A 14189-nucleotide genomic window follows, 5' to 3' on the forward strand; every position below is an offset into this window, starting at 1 on the left:
ACCTGGTTAGAATCTTTTAAAAAAGAGACTTTGAAAGATATTCCTAATAAGGTGTGCATAAATTATTAAAATGTTTTCTCTGATCTCTTTTCTACAACAGAATTTCGTCTTGGGAAAAAAATCAATAACTCCATCTTTATTTTGTGTAGTATTCCTCCTTACTCAGCACCTTTGTAGTTCTTACATTTCTTCTGGTTTAGCTGCTTTGATAATTGTTTCCTAATACAAAGCCGAAAATGTAAGATGTGTAAAAGAAATCACTACTTGACATCAACGACATTACAGAATTGTGTAATATTTAACTCAAAATTTTATTTATTTACTTTTACTCAATATTTATCTTATAAGATAATTTTAAATTCATATATTTTATATCTATTATTTCATAACTTTTTTCTAAAAATCTACTTACCTCATTTACAGTGTTCAAGGACTATATAGAAAGTTTAGAAATCTTATTAGCAATAATCAAGCCACATTTTCAAAATTTTATTCCAACCTTAGCTCTAGAATGCATGATACAGTTAAGTGAGGATTATATTGATGGCTTGGGCTCTCATTTGAGGATCTGAGGACTACGTTCAACAAATACTAAAAGAATAGCTCTACAAGCCCATCTCATTCATCAGTCAAGTTCATAGCATGATATACAGAGCTTTCTGGCAAACTGACAATATAACTTTTCCCCTCAAAAAAAGTAGATATAAAATATACATTAAAATGTATACTTCCATTTATCCTTCTTCCTGATATTATTTAAGAAAGTTGGGTAATATATAATAGAATTTACAGTACTTGAATTTCATATACTTTGGAAGAATGTGTCAAGTTAGAAATAATAGATCCACAGTGATAGCATATGCAAATAATTTCCTTTTTTTATTTCTATATATGAGGTAACCTGTAATAGATTATTTTCCAGTTTAATGTAATGACCAACCTGCATTAGATTATTTTCCAGTTTAATGTAATGACCAAGACTAGAATTCTCCAAAATTCAGAACTGGTTAATAAACAATATATTAAGAAGCCAAATAAATCATTTTATTTTTAAGAGATAAACATGCATAACCCTTGGTGACAGGTACTTCATAATAACTGAGTTTGCAATTATAAAATCTTCTGTATATTATCCTACAGGAATTCCTACAGGAATTTCAAGTATTTTTTTAGTCTTTAAAATCTTATAACTTCTTCAAAGATTTGAGAAAGAGAAAAACCACTTTTGATCCCCAAATGTAATGAGAAATAAAAACTAATTTAGTTTCTGACATTCAAAATAGAATTTTGTTGGAAAACCATTCCATACTCATGGATTAGAAGAATCCATTGTCTGCCAGATGTGGTGACTCACGCCTATAATTCCAGCACTTTGGCAGGCCAAGAGGCCAAGGCAGGTGGATCACCTGAGGCCAGGAGTTGGAGACCAGCCTGACCAACAAGGAGAAACCCCATCTCTACTTAAAAAAAAAAAAAAAATACAAAAATACAAAATCAGCCAGGTGTTGTGGTGCATGCCTGTAATCCCAACTACTCGGGAGGCTGAGGCAGGAGAATCACTTGAACCCAGGAGATGGAAGTTGCAGTTGGCCAAGGTCATGCCATTACACTCCAGCCTGGGCAACAAGAGTGAAACTCTGTCTCAAAAATAAAATCAAACAAACAAAAAAGAATCAATGTCATAAAAATGGCCATATGCCCTAAGCAATCTAAAGAATCAAGACTATTTCTATGAAACTACCAATGTTGTTTTTTACAAAATTAGAAAAAAAAAACTATTCTAAAATTCATATAGAGCCAAAAAAGTGTCCCAATAGCAAAAGCAATCTTAGGCAAAAAGAATAAAGCCTGAGGCATTACATTACCCAACTTCATACTATATTATAAGGCTACAGTAACTAAACATCATAGTAGTCATTCAAAAACAGACACACAGACCAATGGAACAGAATAGAGAACCCAAAAATAAAGCCACACACCTACAGCCATCTGATCTTTGTCAAAGTCAACAAAAATTAGCAATGGGAAAAGGACTCCCTATTCAATAAATGGTCCTTGGATAACTGGCTAGCCATAGGCAGAAGAATGAAACTGTACCCCTACTTTTCACCATATGCAAAAATTAACTTAAGATGGATTAAAGATTTAAATGTAAGACCTCAAACTTTAAAAATCCTAGGAAAAAACCCTAGGAAGTACCTTTCTGGACATGGGCCTTGGCAAAGAACTTATGACTAAGTTCTCAAAAGCAGTTGCAAAAAACCTAAAAATTAACAAGTTCAACCTCATTAAAGAGTTTCTCCACAGCAAAATAAACTATCAATAGAGTAAACAGACAACCTACAGAATGGGAGAAAATATTCACAAACTACGCATCTGAAAAAGGTCTAATATCCAGAATCTATAAGGAACTTAAATATTTCAACGAGAAAAAACAACCCCATTGAAAAGTGGGCAAAAGACATGAACAGATGCCTCTCAAAAGATGACATACAAATGGCCAACAAACATGAGAAAATGCTCAACATCACTAATCATCAAAGAAACGCAAATCAAAACCACAATGAGGTATCATCTTACACCAGTCCGAATCACTATTATTAAAAAGTCAAAAAACAACAGATGTCACTGACGCTGTGGGGAAAAGGGAACATTTATACACTGTTGGTGGGAATGTAAATTAAATCAGTCACTATGAAAAGCAGTTTGGAGATTTCTCAAAGAACTGAAAAAAGAACTATCATTCAACCTAGCAATCCCATTATGGGTATATACCCAGGGAAAATGAATTATTCTACCAAAAACACACATGTACTGGTACGTTCATCCCAGCAGTATTCACAGTAGCAAAGACATGGAATCAGCCATGGTGCCCATCAACAGTAGATTGGATAAAGAAAATGTAGTATACCTGAAACTGGTCCAATTGTCCCACAGAACTGATCTTTATGGTTTCTTTTGAATAAATATAGAAATTGACCCTCCCAGTCTTAAAACTTCAGAAAGTTTACAACTGTCTTATCTGAGTTCCTTTCTCAGGAAACCATCAGGCCTCCCAGATGGTATCAAGGAACTGAAACTTACCAGATTACCACATCTGGAAAATGAGATTCCAAACCCCTACCCATCATGATTGCTTAACTGATCATCAGCTTCCTGTTGACCAACTCATCTTCCTTATTCCTCCCTAATTCCTGTATTCCTACATGTAGCTATATTTCTTCCCTGCTATATAAACCCAATTTTAATCAGTCAGAGAGATGGATTTGAGACTGATCTTCCATCTCCTCAGCTGGAGCACCCTATAAAGCCCTCTTGCCTAGCAATACTCATTGTTTCAGTGATTGGCTTTTTGTGCAGGATGTAGACTAAACCCCTGGCATTTCAGTAATACATATACACCATGCAGCACTATGAAGCCATAAAAAAGACTAAAACGTGTCCTTGGCAGCAACATGGATGCAAACGGAGGCCATTATCCTAAACAAATTAATGCAGAAACAGAAAACCAAATACTGCATGTTCTCGCTTATAAGGGCAAGCTAAACATTGGGTACCCACAGACATAAAGATGGGAACAATAGACACTAGGGACTACTGAAGGGGGAAGGAAGGAAGAGGGTAAGGGTTGAAAAACTACCTATTGGGTACTATACTCACTATCTGGGTGACAATATCATCCATACCTCAAACCTCAGCATCATGCGATGTACCTTTGTAACAAACCTGCACATGTACTCCTTGAGAATCTAAAATAAAAGTTGAGATTTTTTTTAAAAAAAATAGAATTTCAGGTTCTTCAGCAACACAAATGGTTGAAAAGCAAGGGAAAATAGAGTGACTAGTTTGCTAAATCACTTTACATTGGCTTTCTTTACGTATCAAAAGACAAACTGAGGTCCTCTTCTGCACACAATTAGATTGAAAGTAAAAGGGCAGAAAATAATATATTCTACAAGCAGCAACCAAAAGAAAGGTGGTGTGGCTGTACTACTATCAAACAAAGAAGAACTTGAAACATAAACGTCTTACCAGAGACAAGAGGGACACTTTATAATGATAAAAGGGTCAATCCGTGAGGAAGATAAAGCAATTGTAAACATAACTGAACCTAATAACAGAGCACTGAAATATGTGAAGCAAAATGCAGCAGAAACGCAGGGAAAAAATACACATTTTAACAATAATATTTGGAATCTTTAATATCCCACTTTCAATATCAATTTTAAAAACAGGCAGCATAATATAAATTAGAACAACAATATAAACCAACTTGACCTAGCAGACATCTATAAACACTATTCCTAAAAATATCAGAATATAAATTTTCCCCAAGTGCACATGGAATATTCGCCAAAATAGACAATCCGCTAGACAATAAAACAAGCCTTGATAAATTTAAACAGAAAGCTGGGCATGGTGGTATGTTCCTATAAACCCAGCTACTAGGGAGGTTGACGTGGGAGAATTGCTTAAGCCCAGGAGTTCAAATCCAGCCTAGGCAACATAGTAAGATCCTATTTCTAAAAATAAAATAACATAAAATAAAAATTGAAATTCAAAAAGATGAAATTCATATAAAGTATGTTCTGTGATTACAATGGAATGAAATTAGAACTCAATAACAATGAAATTTAAAAAACTTTACAAATATGTGGAAATTAAACAACCGAAATAATCACTGAGTCAAAGAATAAATGAAAAAGAAAATTAGAAAATACTTGAAGAAATGTTAAAATGAAGACACAATATAGCAAAATGTATGGAAGGCTGCTAAAGTAATTCTTAGAGGGACATGTATAGACAGGAATATGCCTATAGTATAGGAGAAAAAGATGAACATCAAGTTAACCTTGCACCTTAAGACACTGTAAAAATAAGAGCATTCTAAACCTAAAGGAAGCAGAAGGAAGGAAATTTTAAAGATTGGATATAAAATTGATGGAACTGAGTATAGAAAAACAATAGAGAAAAATCAGTGAAACCAAAAGCTGGTTCTTTGAAAGAATCAACAAAACTGACGGACCTCTAACTAGATTTATGGAGAAAAGAAGAGAGAAGATTCAAATGACAAGAAGCAGGAATGAAATAGGGGACACTACTGAAAACCTTATTAAGGAATACTATGACTGCTATATGCCAATAATTATAGATAACTTAGATGAGATTGACAAATTTCTAAAAAGACAGGAGCTGCAAAACCAACTCAAGAAGAAAAATACAATCCAAATAGATTTATAACAAGTAAAAATATCAAATCAGTCAAAAAACTACCCACAAAGAAAAGACCTGGCCCAGATGGCATCAATGCTAAATTCTACCAAACATTTCAAAAAGAATTACCACCAATTTGTCTCAAACACTTTCAAAAAATAGAAGAAGATGGAACACTTTCCACCTCATTGTACGAGCCCGGTATTATAGCCCATTATCCTGGCTACCCCGACAGGAAAGCCAGAAATATATATAACAAGAAAAGCTGACTATAAACCAATACATCTCTGGAATATGAGTGAAAAAATTTTCAGCAAACAGAATCCAGGAACATAAAGCATACATATAGAAAAATTATGACCAAGTGAGATTTATTCCAGGAAAACAAGGTTGGTTTAATAACTAAAATCGAATTACTATAATAAACCACATAGATAGCATAAAAGCTGAAATCCACATGTTCATCTCAACAGACACAGGGAAAGCATTTTTAAAAATCCAACACCTTTTCATGATAAAAACACTCAACAAACTAGGAATAGAAGGAAGTTTCCTCAACTTGATAAAGGATATATACGAAAATCCCATAGCTTACATTTTATGTGATGAAGAAAGACTAGATGCTTTCCTATAAAATCAGGAATAAGACAAGTATGTCTACTCTCACCTTTTCAATGCCACATTGTACTTTAGAATAGCTAATTCTACCCAGGGGGATTAACCAAAATAAATAAATAAAAGATATCCAGATTGGAAAGGAATAAGTAATACCATCTCCATATAGAAAATTCTAAGGAATCAACTAAAAAAACTAAAGTATAGTAGCCCCTCAGTATCCACAGGGGATTATTTCCACGACCCACAGAATGGGAGAAAATAATTGCAAATCACATATCCAATAAGAAAATTATATCTGGAATATGCAAATAACTTATACAACTCAATAAGAAAAAGGCCAAGTACTCATTTTTTAAAATGGCAAGATCTGAGTATTTCTCTGAAGAGAATAAGCAAATTTCTCATAAGGGCATTAAAATGCTTGACATCATTAGCCATTAGGAAAATGACAATCAAACTACAATGAAATACCACTTCACAACCACGAGGATAGGTAGAATCCAAATCTCAGTTAATAAAAAGTGTTGATGGAAACATGAAGAAGTTAGAAGCTTTACACACTGTTGCAGAAATACAAAACAGCACAGCCACTTTGGAAAACATCCTGGCTGTTCCTTAAGTAGTTAATCACAGAGTTACCCTATGACCCGGTATTTCCACTCCTAGGCATATATCTCGGAGAAATGAAAACATACATCCAAACAAAACTTGTACCTCGGTGCTTTATAGCAACATTATTTATAATAGTCAAAAGGTGGAAACAACTCAAATGTTCATCAACAAATGAATGTACATACAAAATATAGTATATCCACACAATGGAACATTATTCTATCTTAAAAAGGAATGAAATACTGGTACATGCTACAAGATGAATGAACCTTGATAATACTGTGCTAGATGAAGTAAGCCAGTCACAAAAGACAACCTATTATATGATTCAGTTTACATAAAATATCCAGAATAGGCAAATGCAATGAGACAGAAAGTAGATTAGTAATTCCTTATCGCTGGGGAGAAAGGGAGGGTGATAGCCGGCATGCGGCATGATAGCCCAGGGTATAGTATTTCTTTCTGATTGATAAATATGTTCTAAAATTGACTGTGGTCATCGCTGCATATACCTGTAAATATACTCTGAATATACACATATCTGTGAAAATGAAAAACCATAGAGTCGCACACTTTGAGTGATTTGTATGGTATATGAACATCTTAATAAAGCTATTTGAAAAAAAGAAGTCTCAATAAATGCATTTTCCATTTACCTCGTCTTCTAGTTTTACTCCATTAAACATAAAGAACTTGACAATGTTACCAATGTTATGAACTTAAAACCTGGTAATGGGTAATATTTGTCTTCAGCAGAGAGATTACAAAGCTATTATATAGAGGCAAAAAAGGGTTATGCGGTCTATAGTAAACATGAAATCATCTTCCTTTATAAACATTGGTCATTTTTTTCCTGGAAATATTTATCTAACTGTAATGAACAGATATATGTTATTACATGTATTTTTTAAAGTTATTCATAAAGATTTAGTAACGCTGTAAGCAAACCAAAGAAGGACCAGAAAAAATATCATTGCAGAAAATAATAAATTTGATTTTAGTATTTTATTTTTAAGTTTTGTATAGGATAGTGTTTGTATTCCCCTTATACAAAGCAAACTTACATCAGTAAAATGAGTTAAGATCAAAAAATGATAAGACAAAACTATACCCTGGACTGCTATAAATGTTGTACATAATGTTTTTTCAAGCTGCAGATGGTTGAACACAGATCAGACTTTTTCTGAAAAACGTAAGGAAACTTGCAATATAAGAACAAGTCACCTTTCATTAATATTCCTATCTGTATGAACACAAAAAACAAGCAAAAAGGGCTAATGAAAGTAGTTTTGGTTTAACTTCACTGTATTTTAAACTAAATGTTCTTTGTCATGGATTAAAGAAGTAGGAGGGGAGTATTCGCTCCACAGAGATCTCTTTTACAGTGCCAAAACTGATTCTAACATATATATACAAAAACCATAATACAGTATAATACGGATATACAAAACTTAACTTGGTGATTTATTGTAGGGATAAAATGTTCACCAATGAATTATTTCTGAGGGTCCGGTTGGAGGTGGAATTCGTGCAGTATGGAATTCAACTCTGTTCTGAGAATTCAGGTCCACTTGCGGCTAGCATACCTTGCAGATCCGGCGAAAGTTTCTTACAGTAAATTACAATGACCTCAAAGAGCAGGATAACAGCAGGAAACAACCAAAAACAGAACCAAGGGTCGTAGAGTAAGAGGAGGCAACAACCGCATGTGCGCAAAAGAAAAGTGTAGAGTTTTCAAGCTGGAAATTGACCTTTTCAAAGACAGCAGAGGGACAGAGAGGAGGCGGGTGAGGAACAAACATCGCTTGCTGCCTTAAAACGCACAGGGACGCTCCCCAAGTCGTCCAAAAAGTCTAGCCTAGTCCCTCTACCGCCCACGCGGCGCCACTGCGCGCCCACCCCCGCGCGCCCTACCTCGCTTACCTTCCCCCCAGGCCAGGAACATCAGCGCGATCACCAGCACGCAGGCTCCGCCAGGCATCGCTGCTTCCGCAGGTGGGGCGAAAGGCGTCGCAGAGCCCGGGCCGCGGGTGCCAGGAGGATGGGGCCACAGCAGCCCCTCGGGCCTCCTTTCTTGGATTTTCTCAGTCTGTTGCTGCTTGGAACAGGGAAGCTCCGCGTCCTCGTTCTGGGGTGCACCCAGTCCTTTCGTGGGATAGAGCCTTCGCGTAATCCGTCTGCGACTCCTCCCTTCCCATTTTGGCTGCTGGCTGACCTGAAAGCCACGCCCAACCTGTCCCCATAGCCCAGCGTGTACCGGCAGTGGCTCCGCCGCCTTGGATGTCACCGTGCAGTCGCACAGCCAGGAGTCAAGCTACAGGGATGTAGCTCTCCGCCCGCTGCGTCTTGCTGTTCTAACAGAGGCTGTATGAAAACTTGGTAATCCTAGAAACTGCTCAGATGGACCTCGCATAAAAGAAGCCTCACAAGGTTCCGTTGGAAGGGGAAGTTTCCCATGATTGTATCTGCAGACGGATTCCTAACTGCGTAATGGGCGCTACTGGTTTGCACCCCAAGGCGAAGGCGCTGAAAATGCTCCTGTCACCTTAGATCTCAGTGATGAACGACAGGAGGAGGAGTAGACACTAACGTTGCAACAGTAGATGCCTTTTCTTCTGCCTCTGTGACAGGTTTTCAGAAGTGGAAAGGACCGCATTTAGACACTAGCCAAACCATGAGGTTTGTCACCTGTATTTGCCAGTGATTCCCAGAGCTCTTACAGTTGTCCCAGGACGCTTTAGCACATGGCCACACGACTCCCAAGGTTGACCTGGGAGTTATTAGAAGATCAGAGGGCTCTAATGTCTTCCCCCAACCTCGTTTTTGTTTTGTTTTGTTTTGTTCGAGACAAGGTCTCACTCTGTCACCCAGGCTGGAGTGCAGTGGCACAGTCACAGCTCGCTGGAGCCTTGAACTCCTGGCGTCAAGCGATCTTCCCCCTCAGTCTCCCAAAATGCTGGGATTACAGGCGTGAGCCACCGTGCCAGGTCTAAGGTCTTCAGAAGTGTGGTTGCCTCTGCAGAGGAACAGGGTCCTTTTTTCAACTGATTCTACATCTTTTTATGTCTGAAAATGAAACCTCACTGTCCTAGTTTTTCCCTGGCTGTCTCATTCCTTGAGTCTCCCATCCATCACCTTGCACTTGGTTCTCACAGAGCCTTTACCTGAAGAGGATAGTTTGGGGGTCCAAGTGGGCACCAAGGTTCCACCCACAAATTTGGAGGTTCAAGGTTGGCCTAGGCATGGTGGTGGAAACAGGAGGTGTCCAAATGCATAAACAAGTATTTTTTTAATTTCATATAATTCTTTATTTTTAATTTGAAAGGTAAATTACCATTTAAAATTTTAAAGCTTATCATCTCCATAGTAAAAATATTAACCCATATTGGAAATAATTTCTTTTTGGTACACAATACTTGTGTGTAGCCATCTTTCAAATGCAGCAAGGGCACCCAATTTTCTGGATTAAAAATAAAATATTACTTTTTGGTGGACGGTAGACAGGTGATTTTTATCTTAAGGCTTAAGTATGGAAGGGCAATATAATGTAGGCACAATGAAAACCCAGAGATTTCTTAGTGTACAGTTAAGTCTTTTGTTTCCGCTTAAAAAATTCTAATAAAACAGACAAGAAATTAAATGTCAGTTTTCTCAATCTATTTGTGAAATCACCAGGAACAAAGTAATTTGATGTGAATCAAATCATAGCAGGACTTTTGTGAATTTATTTTCTAGCAGTATCTATACAAATGTAGTAAACTTTTATACTTTCTTGGAGGACAACATTACTTATCTGACTTCCATCAAAATACAATTTCAGGTATCGTGGGCCTTATTTTTTTCTTCAGTTTTTGATTGTTTATGAGTTTATGAGTTTACAATAAACTTGTGCCAAAACCCAACTTCCCTCCATGTGACTAAAGATGGAAAAAACTAAAAGCAACTTAAGAATTTTTTTTCAAGTCTCAGTAACCTGGCTTGGATCTGCAAGAATGTATCAATTAAATGCTGGTTATATCACGCCTGTAATCCCAGTGCTTTGGGAGGTCGAGGCAGGCGGATCACCTGAGGTCAGGAGTTCAAGACCAGCCTGGCCAACATGGTGAAACCCCATCTCTACTAAAAATACAAAACATTAGATGGGCGTGGTGGCGTTCGCCTGTAGTCCCATCTACTCGGGAGGCTGAGGCAGGAGAATCGTTTGAGCCCAGGAGGCAGAGGTTGCAGTGAGCCAAGATAGCTCCTCTGTACTCCAGCCTGGGCGACAGAGCAAGATTCCATCTCAAAAAAAAAAAAAAAAAAAAAAAAAATTAGTTATAGAACTGTATGGAAAACAAAAAGTAATGAAAATGTTTTAATCTATGTCTCGTGAAGTTAATCAAAAATTGGTATAAGATTCTTTTTTATATTTTTGAACATTAAAAACAATGGATGCATGGTACCCCGCAATATAGAGACTGACAGCACTTGTAAAATGCAGTAAATATCACTGAGACAAATAATAAGAATGTCAGAGGGAAGAAGAAATGAAGCCAAGTGCTAATAAGTACAATATAGCTTAAATTAAAAGATTAACAGGAGAAAATTTTCAAATGATAATTTTCTAGGAAAAGGAGATAACTCAGTTTTTGTCAGGTTAATTTACAAAGTGATGGGCTTGAGTGAAAAAAAATACCAAATTCAAGGGGCAGAAAAACCCAGTGATTAAGTCCACAAATCCTAGGTTAAAAACACCTGGGCTGTAATTCTAGATCTGCTACCTATTTATCAGAAGTGTAACCTTGAACAGCACACTCAACTCCTCTTAACCTCATTTTTCTGTACAATAGAAATGACAATAATAGTACCCCATAGACTTAAAGAATCAAAAGTGTATGTGCATGCCTGTGTGTGGCTGGGAGCGTGGAAGAGCATCTGGAGAAAGAGCACTCAGAATAGCATTTGGTCCAAAGTAGCTATTATGGTCGAATGTAACAGTTTACTGTTATTAGAACTAGGGTAATATTCTACATAATTATACTTTCTCTTATGTCTTATTATATAAAGGTGCATCATTTCTTGGCACTACTCTATTACAGTGTCTGCACAGTTTGGAGTAACCTTCCTGGAAAATACATATTTATGTAACATATGAATTCCTCATCCCATGTTTTACTAAATGAGTGAGCCCTTTTCCAGAAATGTAAAATTGATAGGATTGCTTCTGGGGTTTACTTGAGCTGAACACAAGTACACTCAGAAGCAGAGGCTAAAACATACAGCAGGTCCTTGGTCATTTTGTTTAACGTTATTTTGTTATAACACTGATGGAAAAAATCGATTTCCAGCAGAGGCCAATGTCTATGTGGAATTGGCACGTTCTTTCCATGTCTATGTGGGTCTTCTCTGGGTACTCCCGTTTCCCTCCACTTCTCAACTCTCTGTGTGTTGGGTGAATTGGCATGTCTACATAGGCCCTGCTTGAGTGATTGTGGTTGGGTATGTGAGCGCGCCCTGCGGTAGGATGGCTTCCTGAAGAGAGCTGGTTTACACCTCATGCCCTGAGCTCCTGGTGTAGGATCTGGCCACCTGTGATCCTGAACTGGAGTAAGGAGGTAAATAATTATCTTGTTTTCATTAATCTTTACTCAATGTATGTATAGTTTATTTTACTGTTTAATATTAGAAGTATTTTGGTCTTTTTTTAGAAGTTGGTGATGTTTTTGTGACCAGAAATATGGTATAGTAATTTAACTCATGTTGATATCAATTTGTCTGTAGTAAAACTGGTTTCATTACATGTTGTTTCACTTTACATCGCAGTTTTCAATAACCTATGGACACCGTTGAGGACTCATTGAATGTGGCTATAAGTGTGGTCAAGTAATGAAAACTGATCAGCTGAGGGAGGAAAAAGACAAAAGTGGATGACCAAAATGAAGGTGAGGTGAGAAACAACATGTGAGAATAGAGAAACAGAGAAAAGCACTCATACACGTCCACACGTGCACACACACACAAAAAGACAGAGAGGAAGAGAGACAGACAGACAGTGACAGAAAGAGAGATATGCTAATTCCTGATGGCTTTCCACTCAACAGCTCCAGAATCTTTCGAGGACTGCCTATGTTTCCTGTTTTGGATTAGGAAAATGTGGCACATATACACCATGGAATACTACACAGCCATAAAAAATGATGAGTTCATGTCCTTTGTAGGGACATGGATGAAACTGGAAACCATCATTCTCAGCGAACTATCGCAAGGATAAAAAACCAAACACCGCATGTTCTCACTCATAGGTGGGAACCGAACAATGAGAACACGTGGACACAGGAAGGGGAACATCACACTCCGGGGACTGTTGTGGGGTGGGGGTAGGGGGGAGGGATAGCCTTAGGAGATATACCTAATGCTAATGATGAGTTAATGGGTGCAGCACACCAACATGGCACATGTATACATATGTAACAAACCTGCACATTGTGCACATGTACCCTAAAACTTAAAGTATAATAATAATAAAATGTAAAAAATTAATTAATTAATTAAAAAATAAACAACAAATTTAAAAAAAAAAAAGAGATACCCCCAATACACTGCCTATAAATTAAGGTTAAGTGACTTTGAATTTGTTTTGCTGTTGTTGTTTATAAACAAAAGAATATTGTCTAAAACCTGTTTGAAAATATAAACTGTATAAATTATTAAATATTTGGTTGTGCTTATGCATTTGCCAGAAGAAACAGAAAAATGCACTTGAGATTTGTATTGAAACCTTACAGTGGTTTGTTTAGGAGGAAATGGACTCATCATTTGACCACATAGAAGCTATCCAATCAAAAAGTTTCAGGGAAAAGTATGGTGTGTTCATTGCAGAATGAAAGAAAATCAGCAGTTAAGCTGATTTTGTTATGACAAGCTCAATATGTTTCACAAGAAGATTATTCAGTGCTAGAAAGTCTAGAATACCATTGGCTTTTCCTTCCAACTAGCCAGATGACCACCTATAAATGATTAATAACTTCATTGTAGACAGTTATAGAGATTGTAACTGAAAATAGCTACAGAAAAGACAAAGATTCAGTGGTACTGAAGCCCAATAAGTAATATTTGCCAAATATACCCCATCTCTAATTCTCATTCATAGGCTGAACTTCCTGTCTTATAGTTTCTTTCCTTTTTCTGCATTTAAAAGTTCCTTCTTTTTAAAAGTGTTGAAAATGAATGAGAAAAAGCTGGATAGGAATGAAGAGAGAACCAATTTTGTTTCATTAAACATAGTAATAAAGAAAAACAGTTGATAGTTGAAAAGAGAATGCCCTAAAATCTGCATTACAAAAATGTTTTACCTGTGATATATCTGCTTCATACTGATCAAGAATTAGGGGGGAAAAATGTAATTTTTAAAGGAAAGGAATTAAAGCAATCACTTATTTAGTTATTCCTAGAAAGCCCCTTTAAACCTGGTTCCTCTTTTAGTCTTCCCTGTTTTGGAAAATGGCACTATTGAGTATCCCTCGTCACCAACTAGGAAAAAGGCATGAGGCTCCTCCCTTCTCTCTCATTCATGACTCCTCCTTTGTATTCAATCCATGAATAAGGAGTCCAAAGAAATCTCACACTCACCTGTTGTTCTGTGTCTTCTCTGCCACTCTGCTGGTCAAGCCTCCCCATGACTTACGTGGATCACTGCAGAAAATACCACATTTTTTCTCTGAGCTTCACTCAGGCCCCATTCAATCTACATCTCTGCCATATAATAC

General features: G+C 36.8%; 1 protein-coding gene and 1 long non-coding RNA gene across 5 annotated transcripts in view, besides 5 other annotated features; one reads left to right on the top strand and one right to left on the bottom strand.

Moving 5' to 3' along the window:
* Positions 1-8574, bottom strand: part of VWDE (von Willebrand factor D and EGF domains) — a 72981-nt gene extending 64407 nt beyond the window's left edge. For all 4 annotated transcript variants that reach the window (NR_144534.2, NM_001346973.2, NM_001346972.2 and 1 more), the window contains exon 1: positions 8368-8574. Coding sequence is in view for 2 of the 4 variants with exons in the window: in NM_001346972.2 (NP_001333901.1) it covers positions 8368-8425 (58 nt within the window). In the remaining 2 variants the exon portion in view is untranslated. The remainder of the gene's footprint in view (positions 1-8367) is intronic.
* Positions 7862-8429: an enhancer, noted in NCBI's record as "H3K27ac hESC enhancer chr7:12442779-12443346 (GRCh37/hg19 assembly coordinates)". NCBI's record gives its function as "activates a minimal SCP1, AML or CMV promoter by ChIP-STARR-seq in primed H9 embryonic stem cells {active_cell/tissue: H9 hESC(primed)}" and the evidence as "EXISTENCE:reporter gene assay evidence [ECO:0000049][PMID:30033119]".
* Positions 8132-8426: a silencer, noted in NCBI's record as "tiled region #11821; HepG2 Repressive non-DNase unmatched - State 4:PromP, and K562 Repressive DNase matched - State 1:Tss". NCBI's record gives its function as "represses a minimal TATA promoter and a strong SV40 promoter by Sharpr-MPRA in HepG2 and K562 cells {active_cell/tissue: HepG2 | K562}" and the evidence as "EXISTENCE:reporter gene assay evidence [ECO:0000049][PMID:27701403]".
* Positions 8320-8369: a silencer, noted in NCBI's record as "silent region_17978". NCBI's record gives its function as "represses an Ori minimal core promoter by ATAC-STARR-seq in GM12878 lymphoblastoid cells {active_cell/tissue: GM12878}" and the evidence as "EXISTENCE:reporter gene assay evidence [ECO:0000049][PMID:35858748]".
* Positions 8430-8995: an enhancer, noted in NCBI's record as "H3K27ac hESC enhancer chr7:12443347-12443912 (GRCh37/hg19 assembly coordinates)". NCBI's record gives its function as "activates a minimal SCP1, AML or CMV promoter by ChIP-STARR-seq in naive H9 embryonic stem cells {active_cell/tissue: H9 hESC(naive)}" and the evidence as "EXISTENCE:reporter gene assay evidence [ECO:0000049][PMID:30033119]".
* Positions 9307-9496: a silencer, noted in NCBI's record as "fragment chr7:12444224-12444413 (GRCh37/hg19 assembly coordinates)". NCBI's record gives its function as "represses an EF-1alpha promoter that drives an FKBP-Casp9 reporter gene in an ReSE screen in phorbol 12-myristate 13-acetate-treated (for megakaryocytic differentiation) K562 erythroleukemia cells {active_cell/tissue: K562(+PMA)}" and the evidence as "EXISTENCE:reporter gene assay evidence [ECO:0000049][PMID:32094911]".
* LOC105375154 (uncharacterized) lies at positions 10847-13135 on the top strand. Its single transcript, XR_927035.4, has 3 exons — positions 10847-12038; positions 12247-12365; positions 12525-13135. It is a non-coding gene; the product is annotated as an uncharacterized LOC105375154 (long non-coding RNA).
* Positions 13136-14189: the final 1054 nt, after the last annotated feature.

Source organism: Homo sapiens, chromosome 7 (genome assembly GCF_000001405.40).
Source record: "Homo sapiens chromosome 7, GRCh38.p14 Primary Assembly".
Taxonomy (NCBI): Eukaryota; Metazoa; Chordata; class Mammalia; order Primates; family Hominidae; genus Homo; species Homo sapiens.